This window comes from Homo sapiens, chromosome 6, assembly GCF_000001405.40.
Source record: "Homo sapiens chromosome 6, GRCh38.p14 Primary Assembly".
NCBI lineage: Eukaryota > Metazoa > Chordata > Mammalia > Primates > Hominidae > Homo > Homo sapiens.
In genome coordinates, this window is record NC_000006.12 from 138,794,928 (window position 1) to 138,815,112 (window position 20,185).

The following is a 20,185-nucleotide window of genomic DNA, read 5'->3' on the forward strand; positions in this document are numbered from 1 at the left end:
ATCTAATTTGTATCCTTTCACACTCCTTAAACACATGTTCAAGGAAACAGGAAAAAATGCAGTGCCTGGATTAGAATAAAATTTAAGGCCTGGTTTGGTGACAGGCACCAGTACTTTTAGCTACTCTGGAGGCTGAGGCGGGAGGATTGCTTGAGCCCAGGAGTTCTAGGCTATAGTGTACAATGATGATTTTACTGGCATACAGATGAAAAAGAAAAAGATATTTGAAATAAAAATAAAAATATAGTGCACAATGACCAGGCCTGTGAATAGCCACTGCACTCCAGCCTAGGCAGCATAGCAAGATCACATTTCTCATATGAAACTTTACTAGAATGAAACTTATGGTTTATTACATAGATGTTGCTTATTCGTTGTAGGAAAAATTGAATTACAGATGATTTTTAAAACTACCAGAGCAAACCATTTAACCTATTTGTGTACATACTCCCAGATTTCTTACACACGTTGCAAAAAAAATAGATCGTACCATTCTGCTGGTTTTCTAAGCTGCTTTTTGTAAGTAATGTACTGTGAGCATCTTTTCATGGCCATAACTATTACATACAAAAGAAAAAAACAGGCTTCACAATAAATAGTTAAAAGACATTTTGACCTGAAACTAATGAAGAAGGGTTTTTTGGTTTTGTTTTTGTACCTCCTGTATAATGCTGAAATTGGTAATTCTGCAGTAAATATTAACATTTTCTGAGGATCTGCTGAAGATGAATGTGACAAAAAATAAGAAACTCCACTTTCCTCATCACACAGCCTTAATTAACATCGCTGGCTTTGTTTGAGATCAAGCAAACGTTGGCTTCAGTGTCCAAGTCTCTTCTTGGGGTCCCACGGCCTTGGGTCTGGCACCTCTGCTGGGCACCTCGCAGGGCTTCCGAGACGTGCCGCGACCCACGGGACCCCACGGAAGCTTTCTCCCACCGCAAGCTCCCTGGAGGCAGGGAAAGGAGCCGGGACCCGAGCCTAGCTGGCCTCAAGAGAAGGGCGGTGGCTCGCACGGCGCGGGCGGCTTTGCTCACTGCAGCTGGGGAGATGCAGGTTGGCCGTCCGGGCGCGGCGGCGGGAGGGGCTGCGGGCCTGTGGGGCGGGGTGGTGGCTCCGTGTTGTTGGATCCCTATGGAGATGACCCTGTCCCTGCCCCACCCCTCTCCGGAGCTGCGGCCCGAGTTGGCGCACTCGATTTTCACTGCGCGGTTCCAAGAGGAGACAGCCGCCACTGTACCGGGCCTCATAGCCACTTCCTAGAGGTAAAGCCCGTGGCTTCTGAGCCGCTAGTCTTTTTCTTGGGGCCGCCCGGGGCACATCGCCTGGGCCGGCTTAGTTTCCCAGTGCAGTCGCCCAGGAAGACCCTAAGCAGCGCTGAGGGGCGCAGGGCCCTCCCTCCGCGACCCTGGAGTCCCTTAGCAGCTCTGGAATTAACCAAGATTCTGAAGAGGCTCTGGGGAGAAACAAAATCCACGCGTAGGGTAGGGTTTGCATCGGGCCATGCCAAGTAAACTCTTACCTCCTCCAGAGAACTGATTTGGGATCGAAGTAAAGTTCTTGAACACTTTGGAAAACGCTGATTTTCATAGGTTCACACCAACTGCCTTCTTCCTTCTGACAGTTCTCTCCCTCTTTCCTCCTATGGGGTCCAAAAATGTAGGGAGTAGGGTGGGGGCTGGGTTGGGGGAATGAGGGAGGAATACAAAAAATCTACTGTGAATATAGGTCTTGGTTATAAGGATAGCTCTAAGAGTTAATATGCTAAGATTTGATGAGCAGGACAAATAAAACAGTGGTACTTTAAAATATCGATTTAAAAATACCGATGCTGTGCTTATTAATAAACTTTGCATATGTATCAGAACACAATATCCTGACATCATTGGTGTTAAAGTTCACTGCAACCCATGCAATTGTATCCAAGCCTGTTAAAGTCTGTTCTGCAGGAACTGACATTTGTGCTCCACAGAAACCTCAAAAATCATGCTCTACAAACACTTATTTCAGTGGGAGGAAGAAGGGTTAAGGACTTGGAAGTTTTATAGCAACAGTTGCATCTTGTTTGTTACAGCTTTAGTTTTATAGCTTTAAACTTATAAATCAGTGAGCACATCCACCATTTGAAAATACCAGCACAAGTATGGTATTTTCTATCACCGCCTGTAAGATCAATAGCCCAGGTTTCCTCAAAACACGCCATTATTTTCATTATCCATTGCTTAGTGTGTACTTAATAAAAATTATATACTGGCATGTAGTTTTACATGCCCTAAATGTGGGACATTTAACTCAACTGGAATTGTCTTTCATTTCTGTTTTTTCACCAATCACACTTACTTTTCTTCTACTCCCGTTCTTTTGTGCGATCTTTAGAACCAGATACCTTTTTGGAGGCATATTTAAGGAAGTAAATTTTTGATAAATAAAGGAATCATTGCACAATTTGCATGTGTGAATTGCAGAAGTACGCGCATGTAGGTACATACCTCTGCCGAGGAGCAGTGTTTTAATTTCTAAGCCACTCTGTCTACTGTAGTGGAGAAGGACCAGACTAACTTGCATTTCTCCAGCTGTATAACAGATAACCTGTGGAAACACAGTTAATTGACATCATTGCTCTTCTGTGTGATCCCAGTGAGGATTTAGCTCTCTATATGGGCTGGCAATTGTTCAGCCATTTCATCTTTTAATCTGGCTTTGGTTGTTCTGAGAGGAAAAAAAAAACAAAAAACTTTTTTCTCTTTACTCTCACACACTCAGTACAGCCCTTCACCTCTTGTCACCAAAATGTATGGGAATTTCTTCCCACCGACAACCAATTCTCCAGTGGCCACCAACTCTACGTCCTATAATTTAACCCAGTTCTGACACTGTGTACCTGGAGTTAGTGTCAGATCCCATACGTTCAGGGCTCAGTCCCAAAAGACTGCCCCCCACTTCAAATGCCAATCACAAGTCCCAGGTTGTGACTATATGTTGTTTATGATTAACCAACCAGTTACAAATCTGGATTCCCACAAGCCCCTCCTCCGGTTTGATTAATTTGCTAGAGTGACTCACGGAATTCAAGGAAACACTTTACTTATGTTTGCCCATTTATTATAAAGGATATTACAAAGGACAGATGAATAGCCAGATAGAAGAGAGGCCCAGAGAAAGGTATGTGGGCAAGGGTGTGGAACTTCCATGCCTTCTCAGCCCCTCCACATGTTCAGCTATCCCAAAGATCCCTGAATCTTGTCCTTTGGGATTTTAATGGAGGATTCATTCATAGGCACAATTGATGACATCATTGGCCATTGGTGATCACTCAACTTGAGCCCTTCTCTCTTCCCCAGAGGTCAGAGGATGGAGCTGAAAGTTCCAGCTGCATAATCACATGGTTGGTTTCCCTGGTAACCAGCCCCCATCCTGAAGCTATCTAGGGGTCCACCAAGATTCACTTCATCTGAACAAAAGATGCTCCTATCACCCAGGAAATTCCAAGGGATTTCGGAGCTCTGTGTCAGGAACTGGGGTCAAAAACCAAATATTAGAACAAAAGATTCTCCTAGCATCCCTATCTACAAGAGTTTTAGGAGCTGTATGTCAGGAACCAGGGACAAAGATCAAATATATATATTTCTTATTATTCTACCATATCACAGGTTGTCACACAACAGGCCCCATCCTTCTTTTGACTAAGCATGGAAGTGCCAATGTCAATTTCCGAGTTCCTCATCAATATACCAGTTGTAAAGGATAGTCAGCCACGACATAGAAGTGTATTTCCAAATACATCCGTAGCAGTTGTTAAAGCAAACTAAATATGGCCTAAGATGGACTCTGTACTTTTATATTTGAATGCTTGTGGGTGAATTGCAACCTAATTTAATAGGTAGACAAGAATGAAAACCTAACTTAGGAGTATGTGCCTGTAATAATCGCTGAGTCTTGGCCAATCCCAGGAGCCGTACTTCAACCACTCATACACTGCTGAGTGTTCAAACTGTGTTCAAATAAGGCAAATGCTGAGCTGTAACCAATCCAGCTGTTTCTGTACCTAATTTCTGATTTCTGTACATCACTTCATTTTTTTGTGTATAAATTTGTTCTGACCACAAGCCACTCCGGGAGTCTCTCTGAATCTGCTGTGATTCTGGGAGCTGCCTGATTCACGAATCGTCCATTGCTCAATTAAACTCCTGTAAATTTAATTCGGCTGAAGTTTTTCTTTTAATATCCTTTTATATCCAATTCAAATTAAACTTACCCTTCAGGAAAAATCTAGTATAATTTTGAAACTTGATAGGCAATTACTACCTGTGTAACCTTGGATGATTTTCTGATTTTTTTTTTTTTGAGACGGAGTCTCGCTCTGTCACCCAGGCTGGAGTGCAGTGGCACGATCTCGGCTCACTGCAAGCTCCGCCTCCCGGGTTCATGCCATTCTCCTGCCTCAGCCTCCGGAGTAGCTGGGACTACAGGCACCCGCCACCACGCCCGGCTTATTTTTTTTGCATTTTTAGTAGAGACGGGGTTTCACTGTGTTAGCCAGGATGGTCTCGATCTCCTGACCTCATGATCCGCCCGCCTTGGCCTCCCAAAGTGCTGGGATTGCAGGCGTGAGCCACCGCGCCCGGCCTCTTTTCTTTTTTTTTGAGTCAGGGTCTCACTGTATCGCCCAGGCTGGAGAGCAGTGGCACAATCTTGGACCTTGGTTCACTGTAACCTCCGCCTCCTGGGCTCAAGGAGTCCTCCCATTCCAGCCTCCCAACTAGCTAGGACTACAGGTGAATGCCGCCACACCTGGCTAATTTTTGTACAGATGGGGCTTTGCCATATTGGCCAGGCTGATCTGGAACTCCTGAGCTCAAACAATCCACCCACTCTGGCCTCCCAAAATGCCTGGATTACAAGTGTGAGCCACTGCATGCCGACTGGATGATTTTCTCTGCCATGTTCTTCTCTTGTATAATCTAACTCCCAGGGTGAATCTGAAGATTCAATGAGCCAGTGTATGGGGGAAGAGATTTTCTAGTGCCGTGTCAGTCAGTGTAGACACTCAAACAAAAATTAAGATGTTAAATACAACATTTATTACACGCCCCCCTCCCCATTTTGATCTTGTTACTTAGCATGTTTGTTGGATCCAGTTGCAAATGAGGAGAGACACAGATTGGGGTCTTCTATTTTATTCCTTTCTTGCAACAGACTTTAGAAGCATTTAGGCCCCTGCTTTTCAGAGCGAGATAACAAAGGGGCCTCCAGTTTACATCACCCACACTGGAGTTTCAATTCAAAGTAAAAAGCTGGGCTGTGAGATGGCAGCCACAATGTTTTTTCCAGTAGAGACATGCCACTTTGTAGAAGAACAAGATCATTCTTAAATGATCAAGGAAAAACTTCATGGCACAGTATTTTAGCTTCTGTAGAAAAGACACACAGAAAGGATGGAAAATGGTTGAGAGTTTGGTTTTATACACTAAGGTTTTGAGCCTCTCTTGGTATATAGAAGATACTGGTGACTGCTGTATTGTAACCAGAATGCACAATAAATATTCTTGCCCCAGAATGAATTCTTATCTCAAATGAATCCCTTAAAATGCTTCCATTTTTTCTAATTTGCTGATGTCATGAAAGAATAATCTGTCAAATCTACATTTAATTCAATTCTAAGCTTATTTTACCATATGACTCATTTAACATAATGATGGAAATTGCTAGTAAGAAGATCACAGAGTTGATAAGTTGTCACAGTTGTGACACAGTTGTCAAATCCTAATAGTGAAGGAATTTGTTTTTTTCTTACTAATAACTTGCTTTTTTAGCCCCTGAATTTGGAAAATTGGCAGATGCATGTCTCTGTTTGTGCTGCTATAATAAAATACCTGAGACTGGGTAATTTATAAAGAATAGGAATGTATTTCTCACAGTTCTGGAGGTTGGTAAATCCAAGGTCAAGGTGCTGACAGGTCTGGTTGGTTGGTGAGGGCTGCTCTCTGCTTCCAAGACGATGCCTTGTTGTTGCATTCTCCGCAGGGGAGGAATGCTCTGCCCTCACATGGCAGAAGGTGGAAGGGTAAATGAGGTGAATGCTGTGTGAAGCCTTGTAAGGGTCTGAATTCCAGTTCACAAGGGAAGGAGCCCTCATGACCTATCTCTTAAAGGCCCAACCTCTTACTATCATTACATTGGCCATTAAGGTTCAAAACCTGATATTTGGAGGTGACACATTCAAACCATAGCAATTATGGTTTAAACTGCAATTATACAACAATTATCCATTTACTCATTCAGCAAATACTTGCCAAATACCTATCCTATGGCAGACACTATTGTGGGAGGAAGCTTCTAAAATGGCTCCCAATGACCTCAGCTTCCTGGTCTATATGCCTTATGTGAATCCACTCCCCTTAGATGTGGGTAGACACCTATAATGCAGGAGTTGACAAACTTTTTCAGTAAAGGCCCAGATAATAAATATTTTTTGCTTTCTGAGCCATATGGTCTTCCTCCCAATTACTTAATTTTGTTGTAGCCAAAAAATCAACCACAGAGGCCAGGTGCGGTGGCCCACACCTGTAATCCCAGCACTTTGGGAGGCTGAAGTGGGCAGATTGCCTGAGGTCAGGAGTCCGAGACCAGTCTGGCCAACATGGTGAAACCCCGTCTCTACTGAAAATACAAAAAACATTAGCCAGGCATGGTGGCATGCACCTGTAATCCCAGCTACTCAGGAGGCTGAGGCAGGGGAATTGCTTGAACCAGGGAGGTGGAAGTTGCAGTGAGCCAAGATCATGCCACTGCACTCCAGTCTGGGTGACAGAGCGAGACTCTGTCTCAAAAAAGAAAAAAGAAAAAAAATTCTCCAGTAAGTAGATGAAGAAAAATACTGAGTAAATATGGAAACAGTAGGAAAACAGGAGACTCATAAATGAAATTTATTAAAGAAAAGCAACCACAGATAATACATAAATGAGATTGTCTGTATCCCAATTACTTTATAAAATCTGGTGGTGGGCCAGATGTGGCCTGCTGACTGTGTTTGCTAAACCCCGGTTCTGATGAATCAAAAAGTGATGGTGTGTCACTTGTCACTTCTGAGGTTACGCCACACAAGGGCTCCGGCTTCCATCTTGCCTGCCCGCTCTTGCTCTCTTGCTCACTCACTTGGGTGGAAGTGAGTTGCCATTTTGTGAGCTAAACTATAGAGAGGCCCACATGGGAGGGGAGCCTGTGGCCAACAACCAGCGAAGAACTGAGTCTCTCATTCCAACAGTTTAGGAGGAACTGTATCCCTCCAACAATCAGTTATGTGAGCTTGGAAGTTAATTCTTCCCCAGTCCAGCTGTGGCATCCTCAGCTGACAGTTGAATGGTGAGAGACCCTAAGCTGGGGGACCCAGCTAAGCTATGTCTACACTTGTCACTCATAGAAACTGTGAGATAATAAGTGTTTGTTATTTTAAGCCACTGAGTTTTGGGACAATTTGTTACACAGCATTAAATAAACAGTATGATAACCCCATTAGATAATCAATACACACTGTGATAGTCTCCATATAACAATGAACAAGGGAAAATGCTGGATATTATTTTCCCCTTTTGAAGATTCGTTGTGAACATTAAGCATATTAAAACATCCAAAACATCCTACAAAAAAGAAATAAGTTTAATATCTCAATCATTTAATCACAGATCCTGTTTTCTGGGGAAATACTCATTAATATCTTATGGAACTACTATTTGGAGGAATGTAAAAAGCTAGAATAGGAAAAGAAATTATTCCATTAAAGAAGTAGTAATTGCCAGGCTGCCATTTCTCCCTGGGTTGAATAGTCAACGAAATTAATATCTTCACATAATCAAAATAATATGAGGCAGGCAGTGCAAGGTGGCTCATGCCTGTAATCCCAGCACTTTGGGAGGCCGAGGTGGGTGGATCACTTGAGGCCAGGAGTTCGAGACAGCCTGGCCAACATGGTGAAACCCCATCTCTACTGAAAATACAAAAATTAGCCAGGCATGGTGGTGTGCACCTGTAATCCCAGCTACTCAGGAAGCTGAGGCAGGAAAATCGCTTGAACCCAGAAGGCAGACATTGCAGTGAGCCGAGATTGCACCACTTGCACTCCAACCTGGGCGACACAGAGAGAGACTGTCTCAAAAAAAAAAAAATAATAATGATAATAACCCTGAGCCAGGAGCAGTTGGTTATGCCTGTAGCCCCAGCTACCCGGGAGGCTGAGGCCAGAGAATCACTTGAGGCAGAAATTTGAGGCTGCAGTAACCATGATTGTGCCAAAGCACTCCAGTCTGAACAACACAGTGAAATCCCAACTCTAAAAAAAAAAAGGAAAGAGAAAAAGAAAATAATCCTGTTCAAATTTGTACATATATGCATGTACACACACACACACACACACACACACAATATACTATACTATGCTCACATATTTAAGCCCACCAGCAGAGACAGCGACTATTCTTTCTGTAATGTTCAGCTCATTATATAACTCAGTAATCCCTTAACACAGAGTATAATAACAATTTTGCGAACTTGCTAAATAAAAATCCCATATGTTGGCTCTTGGATTTCACATAACAACAGCTGGGCATCTTAAGAAACTAAGAATTTGTTTTCATTTAGTGTTGATTCAGAAGGAGGTATTTAATTTCCCATATTGCCAAGAGGTTTTTATCTGAACAACACATTATTATAATATAGTTTGCCAAGACACATTACTGTCTGGCTTTACACATGAGGAAACTGAGGCCCAAATACTAAATCACTTGTAAAGCCTCAATTTTGGGGAGTCAAAGCAGAGATCCAAATCTGGTGCTCACTATGCCATGCTGCTCGTCTGTAACATTTCTAAAATTGTTCCTAATATGATACATGCCTTTCTAATATATTCATTGAAAAAATGTGCTTCTTCTCTTGAAGTGTAATAAGAGCAGAGGCACTGCAAATGTCTGTCTTATTCTAGAATTATTCTGACTCTTTAATAAAGTTTCTTCAGCTACACCAAGCCACGTTGTACTCTCTCTTCTTGGAATTTATAGCAACAGAGGGTTGCTTAGAAACTTAAATGTTTGTGATGCTTGTATCCCAGCTAGAAAATCACTGACAAGTGGTTGTCCACCTTGAGTTTTACCAACTCCAGTAATGGACATAATCTCTGGAGACAGCGAGAGCTGTGGAGTGATTTTTTTCCCACTTAGATTGAGCCAAAATCTTCCTCTCTGACATCATCCACTGTTCCTAATTTTGTCTTCTGGGGATTCACAGACCATGCGTAATTGATTTTATACATATGAAAAAATTTTAGATAGTTGATGCGTGTGTATATAGTGTGAGAAAGGGGTCCAATTTCTTTTCTTTTATAAAACAGATATTCCGTTTTCTATAAATGAAACAATCCACCCTTCCCTTTCTGATTTGTCATCTAACAAGTGTCCCTGTATACCTGGGTCTATTTTGGAGTTTCTCTTCTGTTCCACAGGTTTTGTTGTCTGTCCCCAAACTAATACCTTTATTATCTTATTACTACAGCTTTATAGTAAGTCTTGGTATCTAGAAACACAGCTCCCTTCCTTGTTTATCAAGACTACTGGTTTTGGCACTTTAAAGTTCCATAAATATTTTAGAATCAGCTTTGAAGTTTTAAACACACACACACACACACACACACACACAATATTTCTTGGAATTTGTTACTGAGATTGCATTGAATCTGTAGATCAAGTTGAGGGAGTTAATCTCTTCACTCTACTGAGTCCCCTAATCCATGAATAAGACATATCTCTCCATTTATTTAGGACTTTAAAAGTATTTTTCAATAAAGTTTTATAATTTTCTTCATAAAGTTGGCACTCTTAATTTTTTCCAGGTACTTAGTGGTACTTGATGTTATTGTAAATATCATTTTATAAACTTCTTGATTGAAATACAGGACATAGAAAAACACGCAGATCATGAGTGTAACGTTCAATGAATCACAGCACGCAGGGAAGTCTAGGGCTCCCTCTCTACGTCAGCACCAGCATGCAGAATAACCTCTTGTGTCCCCTCCCAATCATTACCCTCTCTTTCCTCCCCACAGGTAAACCTTATCTTGACGTCTAACACTACAGGGTAGAACTTTGGTAAATGAACCCGTGCCACATGTATTATTTTATTCGCAGCTTCCTCTGTGTAATATATTGTGTGATTCATCCTTACTGTTTTGTGTAGCAGCAGGCTGTTCGTTTCATTGACGTATAGTATTCTATTGCGTGAATGCATGACAGTAGATTTATCCACTGGACTACTGGTGGATGCTTGGGTTGTCTCCAGTTTGGAGCTATCCAGTGCAGCTGTGCATCTTCTTGGTGATATATTTTAGTCCACATGTATATTTTTTCCAGTTGGGTCAAGTTTGGCATTATTCTAGAAATAACGCCAAATAGTTTTTCAAAGTACATATACCAATTTGCACTTTCACCAGCTGTGTGAGAGCTCTGGATGCTCACCAACACATGGCTTTGTCAGTCTGTTCTGGATAACAAACCATTCCAAAGTTTAGTAGCTTGAAATAGGAAACGTGTTATTTTTCACAATTCTATGGGTTGGCTGGCCTCAGCTGGGCAGTTCTTCTCTTTGTATGTAGGGGGCTGGGGTGATTCATGTGGTTGCACATGGGAGCTTAGTTGCAACTGAAATATCCAAGATGACTTCATTTGCACATCTGGTGCTTTGACGGGGGTGGCTGAAACAGCTGGGGGCTGGCTCAAACTCTCTCCATATGGTCTCTTGTCATCCAGTATCCCAGCCCAGGCTTATTTACATGGCAGCTGGATTCCAAGAGTTCAAAAACAGAAGGTATAAGTCTTCTTAAGGTCCATGCCCAGAAGTCACACATCATCACTTCCACAACATCATTGGTTAAAACAAGACAGTGGTAGTGCAGATTGATTCAAGGAGAGGGAGAAGAATAGACTCCACCTCTTGATGGAGAACTGGTATGTGGGTACAGGGATGGGAGCAATTGTTCCTGGCCATGTGCACAGACAATATACTGTGTCCCTCCCTCTGGCCACAAGTCACAGTTGCAGCACACAGAATACCTTTATTTCATACCAAGACACCACCAAAGGGTCTTCCAATTATGGTATGAGGCTTGAAGCCCAGTCTCTTGTGATCTCCGTCAGGTCCAGTTGCAAATGAGGCTCCTTGTTCATAACTCCTCTCAATCTGGAGACCTGTGAGCTCAAAAGACACATTATCTGTTTCCCCAGACACCCAGCTTAAAATGGTAGCTCAGAGACTTTTTATTTCAAAATTTCTTGGTCCTTCTTACTTCAAGCTGGCCATGCTTTCATGAGAACAAGCCTCTTAACAATTTTGTGGGCTTTGTATATATGTAATTGTAATTTATTCTATTAGACAAAAGCTATATCCACAAGTCTCTTTGAGACAGGTCCTTCTCTGCTTTGGGCTATGGATTGGGGTGCTATGGGACAAGGACTTTAAGATTCTTTGAAACTCTTTTACAGTTGACCCTTGACCAATGTGGGAGTTAGGGGCACAAATCCCCTGTGCAGCTGAAAATTCACGCTTTTTTTTTTTTTTTTTTTGAGATGGAGTCACGCTCTGTCCCCCAGGCTGGAGTGCAGTGGTGAAATCTCAACTCACTGCCACCTCCACCTCCCAGGTTCAAGCGATTCTCCTGTCTCAGTCTCTCGAGTAGCTAGGATTACAGGTGCCCACCACCACGCCCAGCTAATTTTTATATTTTTAGTAGAGACGGGGTTTTGCCATGTTGGCCAAGCTGGTCTCAAACTCCTGACCTCAGGTGATCCACCCACCTCGGCCTCCCAAAGTGCTGGGATTACAGTCGTGAGCCACTGCACCTGGCCACGCATAGCTTTTGACCTCCCCAAAACTTAACTACTGATAGCCTATTGTTGACTGGAAGCCTTAATGATAACACAGCCGATTAACATTTAATGTATGTTATGTGTATTATATACTGTATTCTCTCAAGAAAGTAAACTAGAGAAAAAAATGTTATTAAGAAAATCATAAGGAAGAGAAAATATATTCACTGTTCATTAAGTGGAAGTGGATCATGACAAAGGTCTTTATCCTCATCATCTTCATGTTGAGTAGGCTGAGGAGGAAGAGAAAGAGGAAGGGTTGGTTTTGCTGTCCCAGGGGTATTTTTTTTTTTTTAACTCCACTAATGGTTGTATTTTTTTGTGGAGACAGGGTTTTGCCATGTTGTCCAAGCTTGTCTCAAACTCCTGAGCTCAAGCAATTCACCTGTCTGAGCTTCCCAAAGTGCTAGGATTACAGGCATGAGCCACTGCACCCAGCCTAGATATTCTTTATCACTAAAATTTGCCCCAAAACTAAACAGATCTTTTAGGTTAATTCATATCTCTCACCTTGTACAGCTAAAGGAGCCAATCAGCACTTTCTACATCCTACTCAGAATTTCTTTAGCCAGGTCTATAGATTCATTGACACATTTTCTATCCTCCACATTAGTGCAGGTAACAGTGTTACTAACTTTCCACTGCTACATAATGCCGGTCATCTTCTCACTAGCCTTTCTCTAGACTCCACTACACCGTCTCCTCCACACCCTTTTAATTTCCACTTGCTTCCCAGTCCCAAAGCCAGTATCATAGGTTTTCAGTTAAATTATGGCAATAATCTACTTCCAGATACCAATTTTTTTTGTTATTGCTGGATAACAAACCATCCCAAAATTTAATGGCTTTAAATAATAATCATTTATTATTTCTCATGGTTCTGAGGGTGAGCTGGGTCCAGCTGGGCAGTTGTTCTACCCCATGTGTTACTGACTGGAGCCATCCTATCCCACTGCTCTGCAGTGCCACCCTTGTCATAGGTAGAGTGTCCATATGTATGTGGGTCTGTTTCTGAATAACTGCTGTGTTCCACTGGTTTATTTGTTTGTTCATGTGCCAATACCTCATGCTGTTATTTACACTAGCTTTATAATAAGTAAGTCCTGATATCAAGTAGAGTAAGTCCAACCACTTTGTTCTTTTTAAAGTTGTCTTTGCTAGTCTTGACCCTTTGCATTTTCATACACATTTTATAATCAGTTTGTCAAACACACACACAGCCATGCACACACACACACACCCCATACTTGCTGGGTTTTCATGAGACTGTATTGAGTAATAGATTAGAAGAATCAATATCTTCACAGATGTATACTCTTCTTTAGGTCTTTAAAATTTTTATCTGGATAAAATTTTTAGTATTCTATGTGGAATACTTGTCCCACCTTGATTTATATTGGATTTTATTTTTGTTTTTGTTTTTGTTTTGGAGACAGGATCTCATTTGGTTGCCCAGGCTGGAGTGCAGGGACAAGATAACAGCTCAGTGCAACTTCAACCTCCAGGACTCAAGTGATCCTCCTACCTCAGCCTCCAGAGTAGGTGGGACTACAGGCATGCACCACCATTCCTGGCTAATTTTCTTTAAAAAATTTTGTAGACACATGGTCTTGCTATGTTGCACGGGCTAGTCTCAAACTCTCAGACTCAAGTAATCCTCCTGCCTCTGCCCATATTGGATTTTTAAATGCTGTTATAAATGATATATTGTTGCTTATTAAATGTTATTAGTATACAGAAAAACAATTGATTTCTGTACGTAAGCCTAGTGTGCAGCAAACTTGCCAAGCTTGTGTATTAAATCTGTCAATTTCTCTGTAGATTCTTTAATATTTTTCTACATACAATTATGTTAATAATACATAATGACAATTTAATTTTTTCCTTTCTCTTTTCTTTTTTTTTTTTTTTGAGACAGTGTCTCACCTTGTCACTCAGGCTGGAGTTCAGTGGCGCAATCTCGACTCGCTGCAACCTCCGCCTCCCCAATTCAAGCAATTCTCTTGCCTCAGCTTCCCGACTAGCTGGGACTACAGGCATGCACCACCATGCCCAGCTACTTTTTCTATTTTTAGTACAGATGGAGTTTTGCTATGTTGGCCAGGCTGGTCTCAAACTCCTGGCCTCAAGTGATCCACCTGCCTTGGCCTCCCAAAGTGTTGGGATTACAGGCGTGAGCCACCATGCCTGGCCTATTTTTTCCTTTTAAATTATTATACATTTTATTTTATTGGTTTATCACGTTGGAAAGACCCTCCAGAACAATGTTAAACAAAGATAGTGGTAGTGAACAGAGAGAAAGTTTTATCATTTTACCATTAGTGTCATGTCTGCTATAGGTTATTGTATTTGCACCTTATTCAGATTAGGAAATTCCCTTCTAGTCCTGGTTTGCTGAGATCTTTTTGTCATGAACGGGTATTGAGGTTTATCAAAAACACTTGTTGGGCCAGCTGCGGGGCTCATACCTGTAATCCCAGCACTTTGGGAGGCCGAGGCACAGTGGTGCATGCCTACGGTCCCAGCTGAGGCTGAGGTGGGAGGCTTGCATGAGTCTGGGAGGTTGAGGCTGCAATGAGCTAAGATCAAGCCACTGCACTCCAGCCTGGGCAACAGAGCAAGACCCTGTCTAAACAAACAAAAAGGAAACTTTTTGTATATACTGAGATTATCATATAATTTTCTCTTTTTTTTTGTTCATAATGAGAAGTACATTGATTTTGTAATGTCAAAATTTACATAAATCCAACTTGCTGGTGATATATGATCTTTTTTATATATTACTGAGTTTGGTGTTCTCATATTTGGTAGGATTTATGCATCTATATTTATGGTAATATGCTTGTAATATTTCTTTCTTGTAAAGTCCTTGGGTTTTGGTGTTAAGATTATATAAAGGTTATACCAACTTTATAAAAGAACTTGGGAATCATTCTCACTTTTTCTATTCTCTGGAAGATTTTGTGTAAGTGTAGTGTTATTTCTTCCTTGAACGTTTAGTAGATACAGAAATCGGTTCCAGGAGTAGGATGTTTCCATAACAACAGCAACACATTCTATATTATGTGGCATTACCATCCAGTCTGACAGCATGAAATTGTTGTGGAAGACCTGAAAAGATGGCAATCTATGTGATGCAGTGGGAAAGGTTGTAAAACTATAGCCTGGAATAGATTAAAGGGCATATTATATACCTAATGAGCTCGTACTTTATGCAAAGAGGTAGAAAATGAATGTTATGTTATTAGAATAAGTTTATTACTACAGGCCACGTTTGCCAAAGTACTAGAAGAAATAGAGGAGCTCAGAAGATATTTGGCTGGTTTGTAAGCAGGAATATAAAAGAATTCAGAGAGAGTCTCAAAACTCAGGGATTTGCACAGTTGGAAGGAATAACTGACTCACATCTTCAACTAGTAAAGAAAAAACTGAGAAAGACTTTGAGCAATAAATGATGCTGAAAACTATGTCTACTGGCAAGGACCAGTCAAAAGTATGGTTGTCACACCATTGTTAGGATCTCCGAATGGAACAAGGTGGTACCCAGCAAATACTTTGAGTTGGAAAAACATCTCAGGGAAGAAAGACGTAGGGTTTGGCTTTTTCTAAGGAAGCCTGATACGCTCAAAATATCTGCAGTTAACTTTAGAGAGAGAGAAAAAAATGTCTCTAAACAATTGTGGCAAATAGCACTGCTTAGAATCAAATATATAATTTGGGATATATTTTGAGAAGTTGACATTGTCAAGGGAATCCCTGGCATGGTCTAAAAGAGAATGTGATTGTTGGAGACAAAATGATCACTGCGCCCCAGCCTTCTGAAACTGCATTTCAGGATTGCTATGAATCCTTTATATGTCATCCTTCTTTAAGAATGGGACTATCTATTGCAGTTATCCTTTCCTTGTTCCACCATGATATATATTATTTACACAGGCAAGGACCAGATAACTTGTCTTTTTAGTTCAAAGGTATTTGGATCAAAGGGAGCTATACCTGTATCTATAGAGAGACCCTTGTGAATCGTTTTTAGCTCATGAGCTCTGTGCTAAAAATATTGATGAGATGGAACTTTGGGGTTGTTTTCCTTAAAAATGTGTGAGTGAGTGTGTTCTGCATATGGGAAAGGAAAGGAACTGTCCCAAAGGGTAAACTATGATAGGTTGTATTACTATGCATGCTGTCATCTAATCCTCTCCCCTTGAGTGTGGCATGGACCTGGTGACTTGCTTTTAACCAGCAGTATATAGCAAAAGTGATAGGATGTCCCTTCTGAGGTTAGGCTACAAAGAGACTGTGGCTTCCCTCTGGTGTGCCCTCTCTTGCTTTCTCATTTGCTCACTGTGATGGAAGCCTGCTGCCATGGGAGCTGCCCTATGGAGAGAACCATGTAGCAAGGAAGGCAAGGGAGGCCTCCAGCCAACAGCTGGTGAGCACTGCAGTCTTCAGTCCAACAGAGCATGAGGAATGGAATCCTGTCAACAACCACATGAATGAGCTGCAGGGCCTTCAGTGAGACTGCAGTCCCCGCAAACACCTTGACTGTAGCCTTATAAGAGCCTTGACACAGAGGTACTGGTTATGAACTGAGATGTATCCCCTTTCCCCACAAATTATATGTTGAAGCCTTCACCCCCATTATTATTGTATTTGCAGATAGTGCCTATAAGGAATAAAGGTTAAACAAGGTCATGGGGCTTTAATCTGAGAGGACTAGTGTCCTTATAAGAAGAGACCAGGTGCAGCTCGCATCTGTAATCCCAGTGTTTAGGGAAGCTGAGATGGGAAGAACCCTGGAGCCCAAAAGTTTAAAGTTACAGCAAGCTATGATTTTTATTTTATTTATTTATTTTTTTGAGATGGACTCTCGCTGTCAGTGATGGATGTCAGTGATGGAGTGCAGTGGCGCGATCATGGCTCACTACAACCGCTGCCTCCCGGTTCAAGCGATTCTCCTGCCTCAGCCTCCGAAGTAGCTGGGATTAGCTGGGATTACAGGTGTGTGCCACTATGCCCGGCCAATTTTTGTATTTTTAGTAGAGACGGGGTTTCATCATGTTGGCCAGGCTGGTCTCAAACTCCTGGCCTCAAGTGATCCACCCACCTCAGCCTCCCAAAGTGCTGGGATTACAGGCATGAACCACTGCACCCGGCTCAGTGAGCTATGATTGCACCACTGCACTCCAGGCTGAACAACAGAAGCAAGACACTGTCTCAAAAGAAGGAAAAGGAGAAGCAGAAAGAAGAAGAAACACCAGAGATCTCTGTTTCTGCATGCACATGGAAGAAAGTCCACGTGAGGACACAGTGAGAAGGCAGCTGCCTACAAGCTAGGAAGAGAAGCCTCCTCAAACCAATGCTACTGACATCTTAATCTTGGAATTATAGCCCCTAGAACTGTGAGAAAATAAGTTTCTGTTGTGCAAGTCACCCAGTCTGTGGTAGTTTGTTATGGCAGCCCAGTTAGACTAAGACAGTACCCCCCTAAACTCTGCCTGGATTCTTGAACCACAGAAGCTTTGAAATAAGTGTTTGTTGTTTTAAGCTGAAAAATGCTGGAGTAATTTGCTTTGCAGCAATAAATAATACATTAGCCTATTTTATTTTTCTTTATATTCTCTTTGACCTCTGTCCTGAAAAGATGGGCAGGTGGAATGTCACCTTCTAGTACTTCAAATTCTTACTTTCAGACAGATGCAGTGGCTCATGCCTGTAATCCCAGCACTTTGAGAGGCTGAGGCGGGCAGATCATTTGAGGTCTGTGAGTTCGAGACCAGCCTGGCCAACATGGTGAAACCTTGTCTCTATTAAAAATACAAAAATTAGCCAGGCATGGTGGTGCGCACCTGTAATCCCAGCTACTCCAGAGACTGAGGCAGGAGAATGGATTGAACCCGGGAGGCGGAGGTTGTAGTGAGCCAAGATCGCTCCACTGCACTCCAGCCTGGACAACAGAGCGAGACTCCATCTTAAAAAAACAAAATAACAAATTCTTATTTTCCAGGTAAAGAAAAAGTCAACCTCCTTGGCTGATGAATCACGGCAGTTTCTAAGTAGCATTTCCTGGAACGTTCTTAATGCTTCCCATTTTCCCAGCAAAGTAAAAAACAACTTTTGTTTAAATTCAGATTTGGGTGAAAGCAGGTAAGAATAGAATAATTGCAATGATTTGAAGTTAATGGGATTTTTGTGTATATTTGTATGGCTTATCATATACACAGATGAATTTTATATATACACACGTACACACATGAATTATAATTCTATCTATATGTTATATGTGAATTTCTATAATTATATAATTCCTATAAGGACATTAACATATTGGTTATTTCTAGGTGATCTTAATTGCACACCTATTGAAATAAACCTGTAGTTTCTAGAAGTGGAAGAAAATTTGCTGAGACGTCAGCTGGGGATTCTTCCTGGAGAACTCCAGAAATGGAGAGCTTCCACACCAGATTTAGTGCCTGGACACCTTTTAGCAACAAGTCATTAAATAGACAGGTAAGTTACATACTTTAAAACAGAACAAGTTTAATTCGTAAGGTTAATTTTCCTGTGATATATTGGGTCTCATGTTGCCACATTTTTAAAGAAAAACTCTCTAAAGAATTTAGCTTTTCAGTTTAAACAAAAATAAACTTAGCTTTGTCCCAAAGACAGTCTCTTCTCACCCCAGTTCTCATCTCCTACCTTAAGGGAGGCTCCAGATGGCCTCCCCTTCCACTCAGTACCTCCAGGAACAAAATAGAGACCTCTAGGACACACAGTTGCTGTAGATAGGGAAGGAGGTGAGAAGGTGATTTTGGTGGTGGGGGCTGGGAGTATTCATGCTTGTGTTCCTCTGTATTTGTAATCCTCTCTTCCCTCCTGTGCCAACTGGATGGTTCCATGTGGCCTGGGGATGCCTCTCCTATTTTAAGGTAATTCAGGAAGTCGTCATTTAATGGCCTATGGTGGCTCTGGCAATAGAGAAGGCAAACTGGGTGCTCTTGTGAGTTCAGCCTCATTCACCAGAGAAGGAGACTAGACCAGGCTGGGACTAAAGCCTGACCTATGATAATAACAGTGAGTTTGTTATCTCTATCTGAGCAAAGCTGGACCGAAACGCAGGTTTGGGGGACTCTGGTCCTTAATGTATGTCTTCCCTAGAGACATGTCTCTGTTGGCTATTTAGCGATACTTACTTTCATCTTGGTGGGTGCTATAAAGATCCAGGGTTGTGAGTTAGTGAAGTTATACCTACCTCAAATGGTTCTGTTTTCACAATTAAATGAGTGTAGCCCGTATATGTTTTCAAAATGAAATGTGTGGACTCTGTTTCCCTAGGCCACATTAGCCTAGGTAGAAACAAGATCCAGGAATCATTACCTCTTTGTTTTCCAGAGGCCCTTCTTGGGCCCCTCTATAATTACATCACTGCCAGTCTTTCCCATCAACCCACCCAACAAGCCTGGGCCTGTCAGTATCCCTGGGTAAAAAGTTTAACCTGAAAGGAGAGACCTTTCTCTCTATATGTGAAAGCGCTCTGTGAACTGTAATGCACTCTGCAAATATTAGCTGTGAGGTTGCTGGTAGATTGTCTAAAGATTGCTTAGCAATTAAAAACAATGAACTGTACAGCAAATGTCACTTCCTCCCCTCCCCCTTATAGCTCTTTCAGGAAAGAGTGGCTCTTATAAGTCATTGGTTTGACCTCTGGACTAACAAGCAACGTCAAGAATTCTTATTCGCAATTTTTTTAAGATGCACTAAATCACAATTAAGGTAAATGTAGCCTAATGATGTAATTAACATTGATTCTTAAAGAAAACCGTATATAAATGTTTATATAACCTTTAAGAGATTTTTTGTTCCTAGGGAGAAAAAAAAACAAGGTAATTGATATTTTAAGGTTTATAAACAGACTTTTCCAGTGCCTGCTTTTGCCTTGAGGCTGAAGTGAAGCCGTGGGGAGGATTTAATGCTTTCATACTATGGTGGGACTGTTTCATGTTGGCAAAAACACAATGGCTTCAGTCAGTGAATTTTTAACATTCTCTTAGCATATTAAATTTTCCTTGGAACCATCAGACAGACAATATATTGCAAATGGATGTCTGGGACATAGGTAGGCATAATCATTAAATGAATGGATGGATCTACAAAATATATGACAAGTGACAGTGGTTGAAACATTTAGGAATATGGGCAAGACTTATACAGCCCTAGTCAAGGATTACGAAGAGGGTTCTCTTTCTCTTTCTTCCCCTTCCCTCATGTTATGTCTGTAATTT

At 41.6% G+C, this 20,185-nt stretch overlaps 1 protein-coding gene across 8 annotated transcripts in view; it reads left to right on the forward strand.

Annotated features, from left to right (window-relative positions):
• The first annotated feature begins 1,159 nt into the window (after positions 1–1,159).
• The window catches only part of ECT2L (epithelial cell transforming 2 like), a 107,984-nt gene continuing 88,958 nt past the window's right edge, over positions 1,160–20,185 (forward strand). For 4 of the 8 annotated variants that reach the window (XM_006715472.4, NM_001077706.3, XM_017010829.2 and 1 more), the window contains exons 1-4: positions 1,160–1,265; positions 17,911–18,050; positions 18,245–18,413; positions 19,564–19,676. In XM_006715472.4, the coding sequence (XP_006715535.1) occupies positions 18,348–18,413; positions 19,564–19,676 (179 nt within the window). In that variant the 5' untranslated portion in view covers positions 1,160–1,265; positions 17,911–18,050; positions 18,245–18,347. Of the gene's footprint in view, positions 1,266–13,342; positions 13,445–17,910; positions 18,051–18,244; positions 18,414–19,563; positions 19,677–20,185 lie in introns of those variants that run through there. The other 4 variants (XM_017010828.2, XM_011535795.3, NM_001195037.2 and 1 more) reach the window with 4 other exon arrangements.